The 18,188-nt window shown below is 55.3% G+C and overlaps 1 protein-coding gene across 7 annotated transcripts, besides 3 other annotated features; it reads right to left on the reverse strand.

Moving 5' to 3' along the window:
• TNNT1 (troponin T1, slow skeletal type) lies at positions 1,032–17,540 on the reverse strand. 7 transcript variants are annotated; one of them, XM_017027186.2, is made up of 15 exons: positions 17,495–17,540; positions 16,333–16,427; positions 15,460–15,502; positions 15,342–15,355; positions 15,015–15,041; positions 14,768–14,800; positions 13,878–13,899; positions 10,191–10,254; positions 9,520–9,636; positions 9,217–9,294; positions 6,295–6,408; positions 5,437–5,546; positions 2,400–2,490; positions 2,221–2,261; positions 1,032–1,294 (listed from the first exon to the last, which is right to left on the reverse strand). In XM_017027186.2, the coding sequence occupies exons 3-15, from the start codon at positions 15,489–15,491 to the stop codon at positions 1,249–1,251; spliced, it is 789 nt and encodes a 262-aa protein (XP_016882675.1). In that variant the 5' UTR covers positions 15,492–15,502; positions 16,333–16,427; positions 17,495–17,540; the 3' UTR covers positions 1,032–1,248. The 7 variants fall into 7 exon arrangements, with proteins under 7 accessions (XP_016882675.1, NP_001119604.1, NP_003274.3 ...); NM_001126132.3 differs by lacking the exon at positions 16,333–16,427; NM_003283.6 differs by lacking the exon at positions 16,333–16,427 and having other exon boundaries at positions 2,400–2,538.
• Positions 9,606–9,665: an enhancer, noted in NCBI's record as "active region_15077". NCBI's record gives its function as "activates an Ori minimal core promoter by ATAC-STARR-seq in GM12878 lymphoblastoid cells {active_cell/tissue: GM12878}" and the evidence as "EXISTENCE:reporter gene assay evidence [ECO:0000049][PMID:35858748]".
• Positions 9,795–10,299: an enhancer, noted in NCBI's record as "NANOG-H3K4me1 hESC enhancer chr19:55652829-55653333 (GRCh37/hg19 assembly coordinates)". NCBI's record gives its function as "activates a minimal SCP1, AML or CMV promoter by ChIP-STARR-seq in naive H9 embryonic stem cells {active_cell/tissue: H9 hESC(naive)}" and the evidence as "EXISTENCE:reporter gene assay evidence [ECO:0000049][PMID:30033119]".
• Positions 9,883–10,108: a silencer, noted in NCBI's record as "fragment chr19:55652917-55653142 (GRCh37/hg19 assembly coordinates)". NCBI's record gives its function as "represses an EF-1alpha promoter that drives an FKBP-Casp9 reporter gene in an ReSE screen in K562 erythroleukemia cells {active_cell/tissue: K562}" and the evidence as "EXISTENCE:reporter gene assay evidence [ECO:0000049][PMID:32094911]".

The following is an 18,188-nucleotide window of genomic DNA, read 5'->3' on the forward strand; positions in this document are numbered from 1 at the left end:
AACCAACGTATGTTTATCCGTTCATCAGTTAATGAGCATTTGAGTTGCTTCTGCCTTTTGGCTATTATGAAAAACTAGCGGTGGGCCAGGCGCGGTGGCTCACGGCTGTAATCCCAGCACTTTGGGAGGCTGAGGCAGGCGGATCACCTGAGGTCAGGAGTTCGAGACCAGCCTGGCCAACATGGTAAAATCCCGTCTCTACTAAAAACACGAAAATTAGCTGGCGTGGTGGCAGGCGCCTGTAGTCCCAGCTACTCGGGAGGCTGAGGCAGAATTGCTTGAACCCGGGAGGTGGAGGTTGCGGTGAGCCGAGATCTTGCCATTGCACTCCAGCCTGGGTGACAGAGTGAGACTCTGTCTCAAAAAAAAAAAAAAAAAAAAAAAAAAGCTGGGCATGGTGGCTCACACCTGTAATCCCACCACTTTGGGAGGCTGAGGCGGGAGGATCAGCTGAGGTCAGGAGTCTGAGACCAGCCTGACCAATATGGTGAAACCCTGTCTCTACTAAAAATACAAAAATTAGCCAGGCATGTTGGTGGGCACCTGTAGTCCCAGCTGCTTGGGAGGCTGAGACAGGAAAATTGCTTGAACCCGGGAGGTGGAGGTTGCGGTGAGCCGAGATCATGCCACTGCACTCCAGGCTGGGTGACAGAGCAAGACTCCATCTCAAAAAAAAAAAAAAAAAAAGATGCTGCGGCCGGTGCAGTGATTCACACCTAAAATCCCAACACTTTCAGAGGCTGTTGTGGGAGGATCACTTGAGCCCAGGAATTCAAGGCTGCAGTGAGCCGTGATCACGCCACTGCACTGCAGCCTGGGCGACAGAGCAAGACCCTGTCTCTAAAAATTAAAAATAAAAATGCTACTATGAACATTCATGTACAAGCTTTTGTGTGGACAAAGGTTCTTGGTTCTCTTGGATATACATCCAGGAGGGGAACTGCTGGGTCCTGCAGAAATGCTTTCACTTGTTGAGGAACCGCCAGGCTGCTTGCAAAGCTGTTGCATTTTCCATTCCCACCAGCAGTGTGTGAAGGTTCAGCCTGCCGTACTTTAATGATTATTGGTGACACTCTTTCAAGTAACTTGTTGGTAATAAGAAGTCAATTAACCAGGAGAGACCAGCTGCATCTCAACCATAATAACATCAGAGAACCCAGCGGGTGTCTGAGGGGAGCGTTTATTTCAAGCTACCGATGGGACAAACACTCCCAGGCTTCCCAGGTGCCACTGTCCGGGGCGGCATCCTCACTTCCAGCGGCCTCCAACGCGGCCCTTCCCTGCCCCCTTCCGGCTGTAGAAGAATGAGGTGGTATCAGGAAAAAGGGGCCCCTCCAGTCTCTGAAATGGGCCCCAGGCCCTCAATTCAGGAAGCCCATTCCCCAAAATATTAGCCCTCCCTGCCCAGAGGAAGCAGTGAGCAAAACAACTGTCACCTCTTTTGGGTTCTATGACTGGGGGGCAGCGGCTGGTGGTCAAAGCCTCGCTGACATGTGGGAGCTGATATTTGGGGGCGAGTGCAGGGTGTTCATGGGGGAGCTGATGAATGTTTATGAGTCAGGGGCCAGGGTGGGGGGAGGAAGGGTTGGATGATCTGGGCATGGGTGGGTAACACGCAGGAAGGGCTGGGGTGAAAGAGACAGGAAATGGGAGAAGAGGAGAAGGGAGAGGGAGAGGAGGGAGGAAGGAAGAGGGAGTGGAGAAACAGAGAGATTCAGGGAAGACCCTCTCGGCTGGGCGCGGTGGCTCACGCCTGTAATCCCAGCACTTTAGGAGGCCAAGGCGGGTGGATCACGAGGTCAGGAGTTCGAGACCAGCCTGACCAACATGGTGAAACCCCGTCTCTACTAAAAATACAAAAATTAGCCACGCTTGGTGGCGCGCACCTGTAATCCCAGCTACTCAGGGGGCTGAGGCAGGAGAATCGCTTGAACCCGGGAGATGGAAGTTGCAGTGAGCTGAGATCACTCCACTGCACTCCAGCCTGGGTGACAGAGCGAGACGCAGTCTCAATAAAAAAAAAAAAAAAGAAAGAAAAAGAAAAAGGAACTGAGACCCAGGATTCCGAGAGCAGAGAGAGGAGGACAGAGAAGGAAGGACAAAGAGAAAGGGGCAGAAACTCAGGCAGTGGGGGATGGAGCCCACAGAGGGAGGGAAAGAGGCCTGAGAGTCAGCGGGAGGGTAGGGACAAGAGCAAGGGCTTGAGACGGTCACACTCACAACTTCTGGGCGTGGCTGATGCGGTTGTACAGCACGTTGATCTGCGGAGGCAGAAGACAGATGCTGGGACAGCCGGTGGGGACGTGGGGACGGGCCACCCACCCCTGCCTGGAGTTTGCTGGTCCCTCCCAGCCCAGCCCTGCCCTCTCTCCCTCCCTCCCTGCGGAGCTGGGTCTCACCTCATATTTCTGCTGTTTCAGCTTCGCCATCAGGTCGAACTTCTCAGACTCCAGCTGGTGGATCCAGTCCGACAGCTCCTGGGCTTTCTCCCTGGCAGGGCAGGAGGGCTGTGATGGAGGCAGCCAGGCAGACCGGGCCCTAGGCCCAGGGACGGAGAGGAACTTGGGCCCAGAGAGGTTGTGGGAACCACCCAAAGCCACACAGCGAGACTGTGAGTTCAGCGTTGTCGGCACCATTTTGTTCATATTTGAGGCCGAGAGTTTTAAAATCTGTGCCCACTTTCTCCACATCCGAGCTGGAGCTCTCGCATTTCCCAAGGGGAGAGAAGGGTGTCATGATTAAGAGACCAGGCTCGGCACCTGTAATCCCAGCACTTTGGGAGGCAGAGGCCAGCAGAACACTTGAGCCCAGGAGTTCAAGACCAGCCTGGGCAACAAAGAGAGACCCCGTCTCTGCTAAAAATAATTAAAAAAATTAGCCAGGCAGGGTGTTTCCGGCTACTTGGGAGGCTGAGGCAGAAGGAACCTGGGAGGTCAAAGCTGCAGTGAGCTGTGATTGCACCACTGTATTCCTGCCTGGCAACAGAGCAAGACAAAAGAAAGGAAAGAAAAGGAGAAAGGAAAGTGGGGAGGGGAGGGGAGAGGAGAAGAGGGGAGGGGAGAGGAGAAGAGGGGAGGGGAGAGGAGAAGAGGGGAGGGGAGAGGAGGGAAGAAGAAGGGGAGGGAGGGAGGGGAGGGGAGACGAGGGGAGGGGAGGGGAGGGGAGACGAGGGGAAGGGAGGGGAGGGGAGAGGGGAAAGAAAAGGAAGAAAGAAAAGACCGAGCCCAGGCTCTGCAGTTAGAAGCCCCTGGTTCAATTCCCAGCCATGCCATTCTCTGGTTTATGAATATGTCACATGACTTCCTTTAGAATCCTGTTTCCTTCTCTAGAAAATATGGAAATAAAACTGTGGAAGAGATGGCTGCTTGCCTACCTGTTAGCCCTTCTCCCTTTCTTCTAGAAATAGCCTCTTGTGCATTAGGCTGAGTTGAAAAACTACTTTGCCCAATCTCCCTTGCAGGTAGGGGTGGCTACTCAGACGAAAGCAGGTCACTGGGTGCGGCTTCCAAAAGAGACTGTGTGGCTCTTCTCTTGCGTCTTCTTTCTGCTGCTTGGATCATCCATGTGAGGCTGGAGCTAGCAGCTATATTGGACTAAGTGATTTTGAGGATGGAAATATTGGGCTAAAAGTAGTGAGTGAAGCAGAAAACATAGGAGTCTGGTCTCTGATTTTGTAGAATTGCCATACCAGCCCTGGACTAAAACCTACCTTTCCTTCCTTCCTTCCTTCCTTCTTTTCTTTCTTTTCTTTTTTTTTTGATAGGGTCTCACTTTGTCACCCAGGCTGGAGTGCAGTGACACCATCACAGCTCACCGCAGTCTCAACCTCTCAGGCTCTAGTGATCCTCTCACCTCAGCCTTTTTTTTTTTTTTTTTTTAAGACAGAGTTTCGCTCATGTCGCCCAGGCTGGAGTGCAGTGGTGCCATCTCGGCTCACCGCAACCTCCGCCTCCTGGGTTCAGTGATTCTCCTGCCTCAGCCTCCAGAGTAGCTGGGATTACAGGCGCCTGCCACCACGCCCGGCTAATTTTTGTATTTTTAGTAGAGATGGGATTTCATCATATTGGTCAGGCTGGTCTCCTGACCTCAGGTGATCTGCCCGCCTCAGCCTCCCAAAGTGCTGGGATTACAGGTGTGAGCCGCCGCGCCCGCCCGGCCAACAATACTTTACATGAACCATGTGCACAGGAAGGAGGGCCCACAGCGCCCCCCAGAGGGCTTCCAGGAGCCTGCTGTGCACATCCTTTCCCGTCTCCACACTCAGTGTCCCCACACGGGTAGTTTGAAAGGAGCAAGGTGGAAGTATTTACGCCCTGGGAATGGGCATGTGCTAAATCTAGACATTTTGCCCCCTGGAGAGCAGCTGTTAAACATTTACCATGAAGCCACTTTACAGCACACTAGCAAAGAGTACGGACTATTGCACCAGACTGCCGGGTTCAAATCCCAGCTCTTCCACTTGCTAGCTGTGCAACCCTGGAAGGGTTACTTAACCTCTCTGTGCCTCAGGTTCCTCACTATTAACACAAGGATAATAATAGTATCTACCTCACAGGGTTGTAAACCCTCCACAGGAAGCTGCTGCTGTAATTATTATTTTTTTAAGGATGGGGTCTCACTACATTGCCCAGGCTGGTCTCCAACTCCTGGCCTCAAGCAATCCTCCCATCTTAGCCTCCCAAAGTGCTGGAATTACAGGCATGAGCCACCGGGCCCAGCCTGTAATTATTATTACTATCTCACTGCCCTTTCACAGCTCTGTGAGGTCAATTTTGTGATTATATCCTTGTTCTGCCAATGAGGAATGGGAGCCCCAGAGAAGTCAGATAACGTGCGCAAGATCACAAAGTAGCCGGCAAAGCTGGCACTGAGCCCTGGGCAGGGGCTTTCGGTGCAAGCGGCAAACCCGATCACGGCGCCACTCTGGGGTGGTTGAAGTTTCTGAGCCACAGCCCAGGCCAGAGAACATGGAGAAACAGGCGGGCTCCTGAAGGCAAGCCCCCACCAGCCTGCCGTCCTGTAGCTTATCATGAGAGGCAGGCTGTCTTGGCTATAGATGCGAGGGACTCAGCTGGAAAATTCTCACCCGCATTCCTGGCTTGAATTTAGGTAAAAGGCACAGCCCATCCTGAGCTCCAAGGCACATCACGGAGTTAACAAAATCTCCTAAACTTGGGGGAGGGAAGTCATCTTGTCTGGCTTCCTTGGTAACACCTGTCAGATGCTACAGGCCACGGCAGCCACGAAAAGTGGGTTCAGTGACATGTTTCACAAAGAAGGCAGCAGAGGCCCAGAGAGGGGAAGCCACTTGCCCAAAGTCACATAGCACTGGAGCTGAGACCCGGAGTATCTGCCCACCCAGATCTGGGTGTGAGCTCCTTTATCCCCCTGTCTCACACCCAGGCCCCTACACCCCGAGCCCCCCACAGCACCTACCGGAGCTGTTCCTCCCCCATGTAGTCAATGTCCAGAGGCTTCTTACGCTCGGAGAGGATGCGCACCTTCATCTCCCGCCCCGTCTGCCGCTTACCACGCTTCTGTTCTGCCTGAGGGTGGGGGAGGCGGAACAGTAAACTGGGGGCCACATCCCACAGAGCACTGCCGTGTCGGGACCCACACGTCGGATCCCACAGACCATTTCCATGTTGGGACCACAGGTCTGCACCCCAGGCCCATCTCCTTCAGACCTAGGAGTCCAGCCCCACTCCCTCCTCCCTCAGATTCAGGAGGAGTCCAGACCCCCAGTCCCTTCTCTTAGACTGAGTCCAAGCCCCAGACCCTCTCGCATTAGGAACCAGAAGTCTGGCCCCCAGCCCCTCCTCCCTCAGCCCAGGAGTCCAGACCCCAGCCCCTCCTCCCTCAGACCCAGGATTGCAGGCCCCGAGCCCCTCCTCCCTCAGACCCAGGAGTGCAGGCCCCCAGCCCCTCCTCCCTCAGACCCAGGAGTCCAGGCCCCCAGCCCCTCCTCTCAGACTGAGTCCAAGCCCCAGACCCTCTCGCATTAGGAACCAGAAGTCTGGCCCCCAGCCCCTCCTCCCTCAGACCCAGGCGTCCAGGCCCTCAGCCCCTCCTCCCTCAGCCCAGGAGTCCAGGACCCCAGCCCCTCCTCCCTCAGACCCAGGCGTCCAGACCCCAGCTCCTCCTCCCTCAGACCCAGGAGTTCAGGGCCCAGCCCCTCCTCCCTCAGACCCAGGAATCCAGGCCTCAGCCCCTCCTCCGTTAGGAACCAGAGGTCTGGCCCCCAGCCCCTGCCCCCTCAGAACTCAGACCTCAGGCTCCTGCAGGCTGACTCACCTTGACCAGGTAGCCGCCAAAATGGGCCCCCATGTTGGACAGCACCTTCTTTTTCTTGGCATCATCCTCTGCCCGCTTCTTGGCCTCTTCCTCTTCCTTCCTCATCTTCTCCTCCTGTGGGAAGTAAGGGGTTAACCTCATGGACTCCCCTGTAGGACTGAGGGAGGAGGGCCCTGGGATGTGGAACTGGGGCACAGGGATCAGCAGACCCAGTGCCGCAGAGGCTGCTGGGACATCAGAACCAGCAGAAACGCAGGGGTACCCACTCCCGGCCCTGCCACGTCTCCCCGTGTGACCACCTACAAGTCCCTTCCCCTCTGTTTTTTTTTTTTTTTGAGACGGACTCTCGCTCTGTTGCTCAGGCTGGAGTGCAGTGGTGCGATCTTGGCTCACTGCAACCTCCGCCTCCCGGGTTTAAGCAATTCTCCAGCCTCAGCCTCCTGAGTAGCTGGGATTACAGGCACCCGCCACCGCGCCCAACTAATTTTTGTATTTTTAGTGGAGACGCGGTTTCACCATGTTGGCCAGGCTGGTCTCAAACTACTGACCTCAAGTGATCCGCCTGCCTCGGCCTCCCGGAGTGCTGGGATTACAGGCGTGAGCCACCGCACCTGGCCCCCTTCTCTGGGTCTTAATATCCTCCCAGAAAAAATCGAAATGAAGGAGAAGAAGAAATGCCTGCTTTTTCTGCATGTCTCCACCCTGAAATAGCCGATAGTGAACTCTGCTGTACGACCTCACTCCAGATGCTCAGCCTGTCTGGGCCACAGTCGCCCTTAGTCTCAGGATATGAGAATGTCTGTTTTGAGGGGGTCAAGGGAAGTAACTGGTGATAAGACCAGGGACTGGGGAGATTAAAGAGGCTGATGGCCTTGAGCCTGAGGAAGGGGTTCTGGAATATTGAGCGAAGGCATTACGACATTCGAGAAACTCTTCATTGAATGTTCCAGAAACAGTGGTTTGTCCAGGCTGAGCCCCGTCTCCTTATGGTGGACATGAGGCTTTTTGTACACCCAGCACTCCGTACCTGAATTAGTTTCCTTTCTGTTTTTGAGATGGAGTCTCGCTCTGTCACTCAGGCTGGAGTGCAGTGGTGCAATCTCTGCTCTGTTCACTGCAACCCCCACCTCCTGGGTTCAAGTGATTCTCCTGCCTCGGCCTCCCAAGTAACTGGGATTACAGACATGTGCCACCATTACCAGCTAATTTTTGTATTTTTAGTACAAACAGGGTTTCACCATGTTGGCCAGGCTGGTCTCAAACTCCTGGCCTCAGGTGATCCACTTGTCTCGGTCTCCCAAAGTGCTGGGATTACAGGCGTCAGCCATCGCGCCTAAACTTAGTTTCCTATCACTGCTGTAATTTGCAAATTTAGTGGCAGAAAAACAATGCAGATTTGTTATCTTACAGCTCTGCAGATCAGACATCTGAAATTGGTCCCCCTGGGCTGGAATCAAGTTGTGAACAGAACCAATTTATTCTGGAGGTTCTAGGGGAGAATTCATTCCCTTCCCTTTTCCAGCTGCTGCCTGCATGTCTGGGCCCATGGACCTTCTTTCATCTTCAGAGGCAGCCATGCAGCATCTTCAAATCTCTCAGTCTGACCCTCTGGCCTTCCTCTTATAAGGACCCTTGTGATGATCTTGCCCTTCCCCACAGGTAATCCAGGACAACCTTCCCATCTCAAGATCTTTAATTTAATCACATCTGCAAAATCCCCTTCACAGCTGGGTGACGGGCAGGTGGCTGTAATCCCAGCTACTCGGGAGGCTGAGGCAGGAGGATCACTTGAGCCCAGGAGTTTGGGAACAACGTGGGCAACATAGAAAGACCCTATCTCAAATAAAAAAAAATAATAATAATAGTAATAATGATGACAATGGCCAGGCATGGTGGCTCATGCCTGTAATCCTAGCACTTTGGGAGGCCAAGGGGGTGAATCACCTGAGGTCAGGAGTTCAAGACCAGCCTGAACCAACATGGAGAAACCCCATTTCTACTAAAAATACAAAAATTAGCCGAGCCTGGTGGCAGGTGCCTGTAATCCCAGCTACTCAGGAGGCTGAGGCAGGGGAATTGCTTGAACCAGGAGGCGGAGGTTGCAGTGAGCTGAGATCGCGTCACTGCACTCCAGCCTGGGTGACAGAGCGAGACTGTCTCAGAAAAAAAAAAAATTAAAATTAAAAAAAAAGGGAAAAGAAGAAAATGGAGAATCCAGGCCGGGCACGATGGCTCATGCCTGTCATCCCAGCACTTTGGGAGGTGAAAGCAGGTGGATTGCTTGAGCTTAGGAGTTGAAGACCAGCCTGGACAACATGGCAAAATGCTGTCTCTACAAAAAATAAAAAAATAAAAAAAACTAGTGGGGCAGAGTGGCGCAGCCTATATAGTTCCAGCGACTCTGGAGGCTGAGGTGGGAAAATCATTTGAGCCCAGGAGGTCCTAGTTATAGTGAGCTAGGATCACACCACTGCACTTCAGCCTGGGTGACAGAGCAAGACCCTATTTCCAAATAAACGAATAAAAAATAATAATAGGCCGGATGCGGTGGCTCACACCTGTAATCCCAGCACTTTGGAAGGCTGAGGTGGGCGGATCATGTGGTCAGAAGATCAAGACCATCCTGGCCAACATGGTGACACCCCATCTCTACTAAAAATACAAAATTTAGCCGGGCGTGGTGGTGCGCACCTGTAGTCCCAGCTACTGGGGAGGCTGAGGCAGAAGATTCGCTTGAACCTGGAAGGCAGAGGTTACAGTGAGCTGAGATCGTGCCACTGCACTCCAGCCTGGGCGACAGAGCTAGACTCCGTTTCAAAGAATAATAATAATAGTAATAATAATAATAATAATAATAATAACAAAATGGGCATCCGGCTGAAGAAGTAACATTTGGGCTCTCAGGGCAGGGGAGGCACCCACCGCCAGCTTAGCCTGACGTTCGCGTTCCTTCTCAGTTCTGAAGCGCTGTTGCTCGGCTCTCTCTGACCGGCGCCGCTCCTGGGAAACGGAGAAGCATAAGGGGGTGCAGGGACGTACCCCCAGTCTTCCTTCCCCAGAGTAGGCTAATAAACAGATTGGAGTGTGGCCACCGACTTGGGTGAATTCGCGAAAGCCTAAGGCTCAGCTCTGTACTAGGAGGAAAACTATTATCTGCATCTCCCAAGATGCAAGGGATCCACATGGAGGGAGGAAGACCGGGGGGAACCCGGACTCTCGGCTCACAATGCGCTCCTTCAAGGCAACCAGCTCCTCTTCCTCCTTCTTCCGCTGCTCGAAATGTACATCGATGAGTGTCTGCAGCTCCAGCAGGTCTTTCTCCATGCGCTTGCGGTGGATGTCCTGCAGGACACACGGGCAGCCCGTCCTAGGAGACCCTGGAGGGGGCAGCAGCCTCCCAGCACCTCCCCCATGCAGGATGGTGAACTGAACCGTTTCCCAGGACGGTATCCAGCAGGTGGCAGCAATGCCTCGTGTTTGACACTAATCAGCTCTTCCAAGGACAGGCTTCCCAAAGACGGGAGTGGGGAGTGGGGACCGGCGCCTTTTTTTTTTTTTTTCCTCCCAGGCTGGAGTGAAATGGCGCGATCTCGGCTCACCGCCACCTCCGCCTCCCAGGTTCAAGCGATTTTCCTGCCTCAGCCTCCCGAGTAGCTGGGATTACAGACACCTGCCACCACGCCCGGCTAATTTTTGTATTTTTAGTAGAGACGGGGTTTCACCATATTAACCAGGCTGGTCTCGAACTCCTGACCTCAGGTGGGTCACCTCAGCCTCCCAAAGTGCTGGGATTACAGGCATGAGGCCCCGCGCCCGGCCGGCGCCTTTTCATGATTGACACAAAGGCCCCTTAAAGACTAGCAACTGCGCCTGCGGAGGGGTCTCTTGTCACTTACATCGAAGTCAACGCGCTCCCCTTCTGGGATCTTTGGCGGGATCAAAGGAGGCACCACGGGGCGGCTGAGTGGACAGAAACACAGAGACCATGAGTGGCCCGACCTCCCTGAGCCACCTCCCACCTCCGGGATGTGCCGTCCAGTGAGGTAGCCGCCAGCCCCGGGAGGCTCCTGAACGTGGAGGGTCCCAGCTGAGGCGGGCTGTCAGTGAAACACACAAAAGAAGGTAAAATACCTCACTACTCATGTTTTTTTGGTTGTTGTTGGTTTTGTTTTGTTTTTTTGACGGAGTCTTGCTCTGTCACCCAGGCTGGAGTGCGGTGGCGCCACCTCGGCTCACTGCAAGCTCCGCCTCCTGGGTTCACGCCATTCTCCTGCCTCAGCCTCCCGAGTAGCTGGGACTACAGGCGCCCACCACCAAGCCTGGCTAATTTTTCTGTATTTTTAGTAGAGACGGGGCTTCACTGTGTTAGCCAGGATGGTCTCGATCTCCTGACCTCGTGATCCGCCCGCCTCGGCCTCCCAAAGTGCTGGGATCACAGGTGTGAGCCACCGCGCCCGGCACTAATCATGTTTTATACTGATTACATGTTGAAATGATAAAACATTATATAACAGATTAAAAAAACTGTGCTATGAAAATTAATTTTTCCTATATTGTTGTACTTTAAAAAATATGCCTAGTAAGAATTTTTTTTTTTTTTTTGAGACAGAGCCTCACTCTGTCACCCAGGCTGGAATGCAGTGGCGCCATCTCTGCTCACCACAACAACCTCCACCTCCCAGATTCAAGCGATTCTCCTGCCTCAGCTTCCCGAGTAGTTGGGATTACAGGCGCCTGCCACCACGCCTGGGTAATTTTTGTATTTTTAGTAGAGACGGGGTTTCACCATGCCGGCCAAGCTGGTCTTGAACTCCCGACCTCAGGCGATCTGCCTGCCTCAGCCTCCCAAAGTGCTGGGATTACAGGCAGGAGCCCCTGCGCCCAGCCATTTTTAAATTTTTTGTAGAGATGGCGTTTCACAGCCTGGGCGCGGTGGCTCACGCCTGTAATCCTAGCACTTTGGGAGGCCAAGGTGGGCGAATCACTTGAGGTCAGGAGTTCAAAACCAGCTTGGGCATCATGGTGAAACCCCATCTCTACTAGAAATTAAAAAAAAAAATTAGCTGGGCATGGTGGTACGTGCCTGTAATCCCTGCTACTCAGGAGGCTGAGGCAGGAGAATCGCTTGAACCCCGGAGGCAGAGATTGCAGTGAGCCGAGATCGTGCCATCGCACTCCAGCCTGGGTGACAGAGGGAGACTCTATCTCAAAAAAAAAAAAAAAGAGATGGCGTTTCACTATGTTGTCCAGGGTGGTCTTGAACTTCTGAGCTCAAGTGATCCTCCCGCCTCAGCCTCCCAGAGTGCTGGGACTATAGGCGTGAGCCACTGCGCCCAGCCTTTAGTAAGAAATTGTAAGTGACGTGTGTGGCTTGCCATCTATTTCTATTGGGTGGTGCCGCTCTGAGGCTCAGCCCTCAGCCTGCTCTGATTTCCTGCCACTTCCTTGGAATTCTCTTTTCTGGGTTTCTGAGACAGTGAAGAGCGATTCCAAGATGAAGCAGACAGGACTTAGGGGATGCTGGGCAAGGGGAGGGAAGAGGTGAGGACAATCCCCAAGGGTCTCTGGGCCAGGGGGCCAAGTGTACAGCAGGGCCGTCATCTCCATCTTGGAAAAGTCGATAAGCTCCATCAGGGCGTCATGTGTGGGAATAAAATATGGCTTACCATATTGTACAGGAATGAATACCGGCTTGCCTCCCACCCCTCTGGCTGTTCCATCCCTATCTCCTGCCCCGACAGCCCCGTGAGCTGCCAGTGAGCTTTCCTTTTCCCTTTTCTCATCATCAATGCCATTCACTCCAATGACTTCAGGTATCATCAACTGCTGAGGACTCGCCAACTGTCTCTGGTCCAGACTCTCTCCTAAGCCCCAGACTCAAGCTAACAGGTATCTCCTGAACTTTTCCCACCTTCCCACACATGACGTCCTGATGGAGCTCACCAACTTCTCTGAGAAGGAGATGGCAGCCCCACTGTCCACTTTGTTCCCCAGCCCAGAGACCCTTCGGGGTTGTCCCCATTGCTTCCCTCCCCTTGCCCAACAATCCCCAAGTCCTGTCCCTTTGCCTTGGAATCCCTCTCAGTCCATTCCCCCACCCCACCCCACCCCCTTTTTTTTTTTTTGAGATGGAGTTTCACTCTTGTTGCCCAGGCTGCCGTGCAATGACACGATCTTGACTCACTGCAACCTCTGCCTCCCGGTTCAAGCGATTCTCCTGCCTCAGCCTCCCAAATAGCTAGGATTACAGGTGCCCACCACAATACCTGGCTAATTCTTTTGTATTTTTAGTAGAGACAGAGTTTCACCATGTTGACCGGGCTGGTCTCAAACTCCTGACCTTAGGTAATCCGCCCCCCTCAGCCTCCCAAAGTGCTGGAATTACAGGCATGAACCACTGCGCCCGGCCCCATTCCCTTATTTTTATTTATGTTTTAGAGACAGGGTCTTGCTCTGTTGCCCAGGCTGGAGTACAGTGGTGTAATCATAGCTCACTGCAGCCTCCAAATCCTGGGTTCGAACAATCCTCCTTCCTCAGCCTCCTGAGTAGCTGGAATCACAGGTGTGTGCCACTGTGCCCGGCTAATTTTTTAAAATTTTTTGTAGAGATGTGGGGGATCTCATTTTGTTACTTAGGCTGATCTTGAACTCCTATCCTCAAGTGATCCTCCCACCTGCCGCTGCGCAGGCAGAGGGCACAGTGTGTGCAAAGGCTCAGGGGTATGAAAGCACAGGCATGGCTAGAGAACCATGAAACGCTGTGTGTCTGTCAGTGGGGAAGGCAGATGCCGGAAAGGTCCGCTGGAGCCAGATGGGGAAGGCTTTGAATGCAGGCTAGTTGCTTTGACTGCGTCTTAAGAGTAGTGGGGAGTTGAGGAAAGATTCTGAGCAGAGGAGGGGCAGGGTTAGCTCTGGTGTTAGAAAAGTCTCTCTCGAGTCATGGAGGAGGATGAGCCACAAGTTGTAGGCAGGGAGGCCAGAGAGGAGGCTGGGGTGATGGTAAAGGCGCGAGGGGAAGAGGGACCACTGGGTGGAAAGAAGGAAACAGACTGGCTGGGCATGGTGGCTTGCGCCTGTAATCCCAGCACTTTGGGAGGCCAAGGTGGGAGAACTGCTTGAGGATAGGAGTTCAAGACCAGCCTAAGCAACATAGCAAGACCTCATCTCTACAAAAAGAAAAAAAAAAAAAAAAACCAGGTGTGGTGGCACATGCCTGTGGTCCCAGCTACTCAGGAGGCTGAGATGGGAGGATTGCTTGAGCCCAAGATGTTGAGGCAGTGGGCCAGGATTGGGTCACTGCACTCTAGCCTGGGTAACAGGGTGGAGACTATGACCACGATGAAGAAGAAGGGGAAGGAGAAGGAGAAGGGGAAGGGGAAGAAGAGGAAGTGGAGGAGGAGGAGGGAGGAGGAGGGAGAGGAGGGAGGAGGGAAAGGGGGAGGGAGGAGGAGGAGGAGGAGAAATGTCGACTGCTGTTTCAATTTCCTCCCTCCATCTCTGCCTTTCTCACACCTTGTCTCTGGGGGTAGAGGGAATATTTAGGAAGATGTATGACTGGGGCCCCCCACCCTGTAGGATCTCACCTTGGTTTGGGGCGTTCCTCTTCTGTTGGTGGTGGGGGATAAAAAGAGATAATTAGCAAGAGTTTAGAGGAGAGGGGCTAGGCCTGACACACCCTGGGGAGGGACCCCCCAAGCCTCGGCCCCCAGGACCCCAGGGAAGGACTCTGGAGTCCAGTTCTGGAGGAGGGGGGATGGGGAGAAGAAAAGAGGGAAGGAAAGTCAGGGTGGCTGTAAAGGAGGAAGAGGGTCACACGCATCAGATATACATTCAGAACTGGTGTGGGGACCCCCCACCCCCACTGTCTGCACACCCAGGAGTGCAAACCCCCAGACCTTTCTCTATTTATATGCCCAGAGCTCCTGCTCTCCTCCATTAGGACCCAGCAGTGCAGGGGGTCCCAACCTCTGTCTTCATTCAGTGACCCCAGCGCTCTCTCCCCAGCTCGCCCCCTGCCCACCGCCCCACCGCCCCCCCGCCCCCGGCCCGACCTTGGAGACCCTGACTCCCAGCGCTCGCCTCCTCTGCAATCCTAAATTCCAAGCCCCAACCTTTGAATGTATATGGGGGAGAAAATAACAGACAAGGTTGGAGGCGAAGATAAGGGGGGATGGGGTGGTGCTTCTCCGCAAACATCCAACCCTTCTGTAAAGATTCCTCCAGACTGGGGAAGAAGGCTTGGGTGTCGGTCCCTTTAAGAAGGAAGGGAAAGGGTTAAAGCCACTGCGGGGCCATTTCCCTTCCCGGCCCCGAGAGGGCGCAGGAGCTCTCAGGGGCTTAAAGGACCGGGCCTGGGGGCGGGTTATGGGGGCGGAGGGAGGGAAGGGTGGTCTTGGAGGTTGGGGCCCGAGGATATCGGGGGTCCCCCCGGGCCCCCGACATCGGTCTCGGGAAGCGAAGCAGCCGCGGTTACCTGGCTCTGCCACCGGCTCCGGCTCTTCGGGGGCTGGGGAGGGGAGGGAGGAGCAGCGAGGGTTTGGGGAGCGAGGGGGGAGCGGCCACGCCCGGGCGCGGGAGGGGAGAGAGGGAAGAGACGTGAGAGGCTGTTAGAGGACCGGGAGCCGAGGCCGTCGGGAGCCCCATCCCGCCCCCTCCTCCCGGGCCCAGCGTCCCCGCCCCCCCACCCCCCAGCTCCAGACCTGCGGAGTCCGGGACCTCACCTTCCTCCTCCTCCTCCGCAGCCTCCTCTGGAGATGGGGGCACAGAAGAGAAGGCGTTAGGAGCTGGGGGAGGGATGGGGGCGGTGGCCAGAGACCAGGGTTCCAGTCTCTGCTGGACGGGGGTCCCTCTGGCCTCGGCTGCGATGGGCACGTTCCCCCTGGCGGTGCAGGGATGGCGCGAGGAGACGCTCCAGACCCGGAGAGGGCGGGCGAGGGCCCGAGGGCTGAGCCGCCCCTTCCCCGCCAAAGTGCCACACTCCTCGCCTCCCCTCCCAAGAGCTCCTGGGCGTGTCCCCATCCCATAGGGCCGGCCCACTCCCTACTCACCTTCCGGCTGCTCCCTGCGGACGGGTGTGGGGAGAGAGGAGGGAGGGGAGAGTTAGACCTGGGGTGGGAGAGCCTCTCCACCACTGCACGCCCCAACCCCTCCCAGTGCAGCACTCACTCCTCATATTCCTGCTCCTCGGTGTCCGACATCCTGGTGCGGCCTAAGGACCAGAGAGAAGAGGCCCAGTGGGGTGGGGCCCCAAGGAGGGGGCGACCTAGACTCCTGGGTGTGAGGGAGGAGGGGCTGGGGGCCTGGACTCCTGGGTCTGGACTCCTGGGTGTGAGAGAGGAGGAGCTGGGGTCTGGACTCCTGGGTGTGAGAGAGGAGGAGCTGGGGCCTGGACTCCTGGGTCTGAGGAAGGAGGGGCTGGGGGCCTGGACTCCTGGGTCTGAGGGAGGAGGGGCTGGGGTCTGGACTCCTGGGTCTGAGGGAGGAGGAGCTGGGGCCTGGACTCCTGGGTCTGAGGAAGGAGGGGCTGGGGCCTGGACTTCTGGGTCTGAGGGAGGAGGGACTGGGGTCCTGAACTCCTGGATCTGAGGGAGGAGGGGCTGGGGGCCGGATTCCTGGGTCTGAGGGAGGAGGGGCTGGGGGGTGTGTGGGAGGGTGGGTGTGGACTCCTGAGACTGAGATGGGTTGTCCTGGACACCTGGGTCTGAGGGAGGAGGGGCTGGGGTCTGGACTCCTGGATCTGAGGGAGGAGGGGCCAGGGGCCTGGACGCCTGGGTCTGAGGGAGGAGGGGCCGCGGGCCTGGACGCCTGGGTCTGAGGGAGGAGGGTCTGGGGGCCTGGCCTCCTGGGTCTGAGGGAGGAGGAGCTGGGGCCTGGACTCCTGGATCTAAGGGAGGAGAGGCTGGGAGTCTAGACTCCTGAGTCTGAGGGAGGAGCGGGCTGGGGGCCTGTACTCCTGCGTCTGAGGGAGGAGGGCTCAGGTCTGGACTCTTGGGTCTGAGGGAGGGGGCCGGCTGTCCTAAAGCATGCATGAGGACAGACCTTGGTAGGTGTGGTCCTGGCACAGCCAGGAGGCTGCAGACCCTGCCCCCTCAGCACAGCTGTCCTCTTTTGTCTTATGACAAGTCCATGGGAACCTGATCCAGTTGGGATTAGGAAGAGGCATTTGAGAAGGGACAGTGGCCTGAAGACAATAGCTGCCCCACCCCCAGGAGCTATTTTGGGGGGATGTCATAGATGGTGAAACCGAGGACATTTCCTAAGAAGGGATTTGAGGAAGGGGGGCTTCTGGGAGAATTAGTCACCCGCATCCCCTCTCCCACTCGCCCCACCCCACTGGCTGGTTTCCTCCCCACCTGTCTCCCCTTTCACCTTCCCATACATCACGTAGGGGGCAGGGGCATAAAGGGCACCTTCTGTCCGTAGACCTCACCCTGACCCCTACATTCTTAGACCTCAAAGTCTTTGAGACACCCTAGGCCACAGGGTGCCTAGCCCCAAATCCCAATACCCACAGATTCTGAGACCCCGATTTATGATGCCCGTGTTTCTGAGGCCAGCAAGTCCTCACAGCTCTGGATTCTGAAATCCCAGTTCTTGATAGTCCAGATATGGGCCGGGACATCCTAAGACCACCCCCAGGTCTTGAGACCTCCTAAAATCTGAAACCTCAAGAATATGAGACCCCCAAAATCTTGATACCCAAACTCGGAGGCCCAGTTCATGATACCCCAGATAATGGCACTCTAAGTTTTCATGCTTTCTATCATAATGTCTCAGATTCCGAGCCCTCCACTACCAAAACCCCAATTTCTTCTGAGACCCCCCCAATTCCTGATACCCTCAGAGTCTGAGGCCCCAAATCCTGACACCCAGATTGTTTGACCTCCAAGTCCAGATATCCCTGACTGCTGAGATTTCCCCCAGATTCCCAGAACCCCAAGATCCTAGGAGGTTTTATTCTGGGACATCCAAGTCCTGGCAGCCCCGGGTTAGGATTTGTGTAACCCACAAATCCTAGTATTTTCCCCTCTATCCTGAGTCCCCCTAAAGTCTGAGCCTCTCAAGTTCCCAGACCTCCAGTTGTATGCCCCACCTACCTCTGCACCATTTCTCCACACCCGACATCTTCCCCACCTGCCTCCTGCCCCCTCCCCCAAGGACATGGTTTTTGAAGACCACAGGGCTCCGCAGAGCCCCTTACCTAGGCTGTGTCTGAGATGCTGTGAATCTTGAGGCTGAGCCTTGCTGAGGGCACTGAAGCTCCGGGGAGTTTATAGCTGGAGGCTCGGGCCCGCCCCGAGGGGAGAGGGAGGGGGAGAGAATTCCTTTGCTCAAACACAAGCCTGGGAGTTCAGAGACAGCCCTGCTGCCCCTGGCTCCACACTCAGAGTCCAGAAGCCTCCGTGGGCCCCTCCCCAACCCCATGCCAACCCCATCTGCATGGCCCAGGAGCCCCGCCCCTGCTCCCACCCCACACCCCAGGCTCCCGTGGTGCTCCAACTACCTCCCTTATAGCTCCCTGTGCTTTGACGTCCCCATGCCCGGCACACAGTAGGTCCTTGGAGGACCTACTAATGACACATGGGCTATAAGGAATGTTTCCTGTTTTCTTCTCTCTGTTCCCTCTTTCTATCTAGGTCTCTTTCTGGACCCCCATTTCTGTTGTCTCTGTGGCTCTCCATCTGTGTGTCTCTGTGTGTCTGTCTCTACTTCTTAGTCTCCTCCTCTGTCTCTGTCCATCTTTTTGTCTCCTCCTCCCACCCCCACCCCTTTGTCTGCCGCCAGGATTCCATCCTGGTGACAACAGGCACTAAAGCCGGGAAGCAGGTGTGGGGAGGGGGAGGGGGAGGGTGGGGTGTCAATTAGGGTGAAACCTACCCTCCCTCCCCACCTCC

Source organism: Homo sapiens, chromosome 19 (assembly GCF_000001405.40).
Source record: "Homo sapiens chromosome 19, GRCh38.p14 Primary Assembly".
Lineage (NCBI taxonomy): Eukaryota > Metazoa > Chordata > Mammalia > Primates > Hominidae > Homo > Homo sapiens.

Bases quoted from the DNA above. Each gene is read 5' to 3' on its own strand.
- TNNT1 (NM_003283.6), bottom strand. From the start codon at position 15,491: ATGTCGGACACCGAGGAGCAGGAATATGAGGA. The intron at 9,295-9,519 runs GTGAGCCGAGAG...TCCGTTTCCCAG, and splicing joins TTGCCTTGAAGGAGCGCATT to GAGCGGCGCCGGTCAGAGAG. The intron at 6,409-9,216 runs GTGGGTGCCTCC...TACTTCCCACAG, and splicing joins AACGTCAGGCTAAGCTGGCG to GAGGAGAAGATGAGGAAGGA.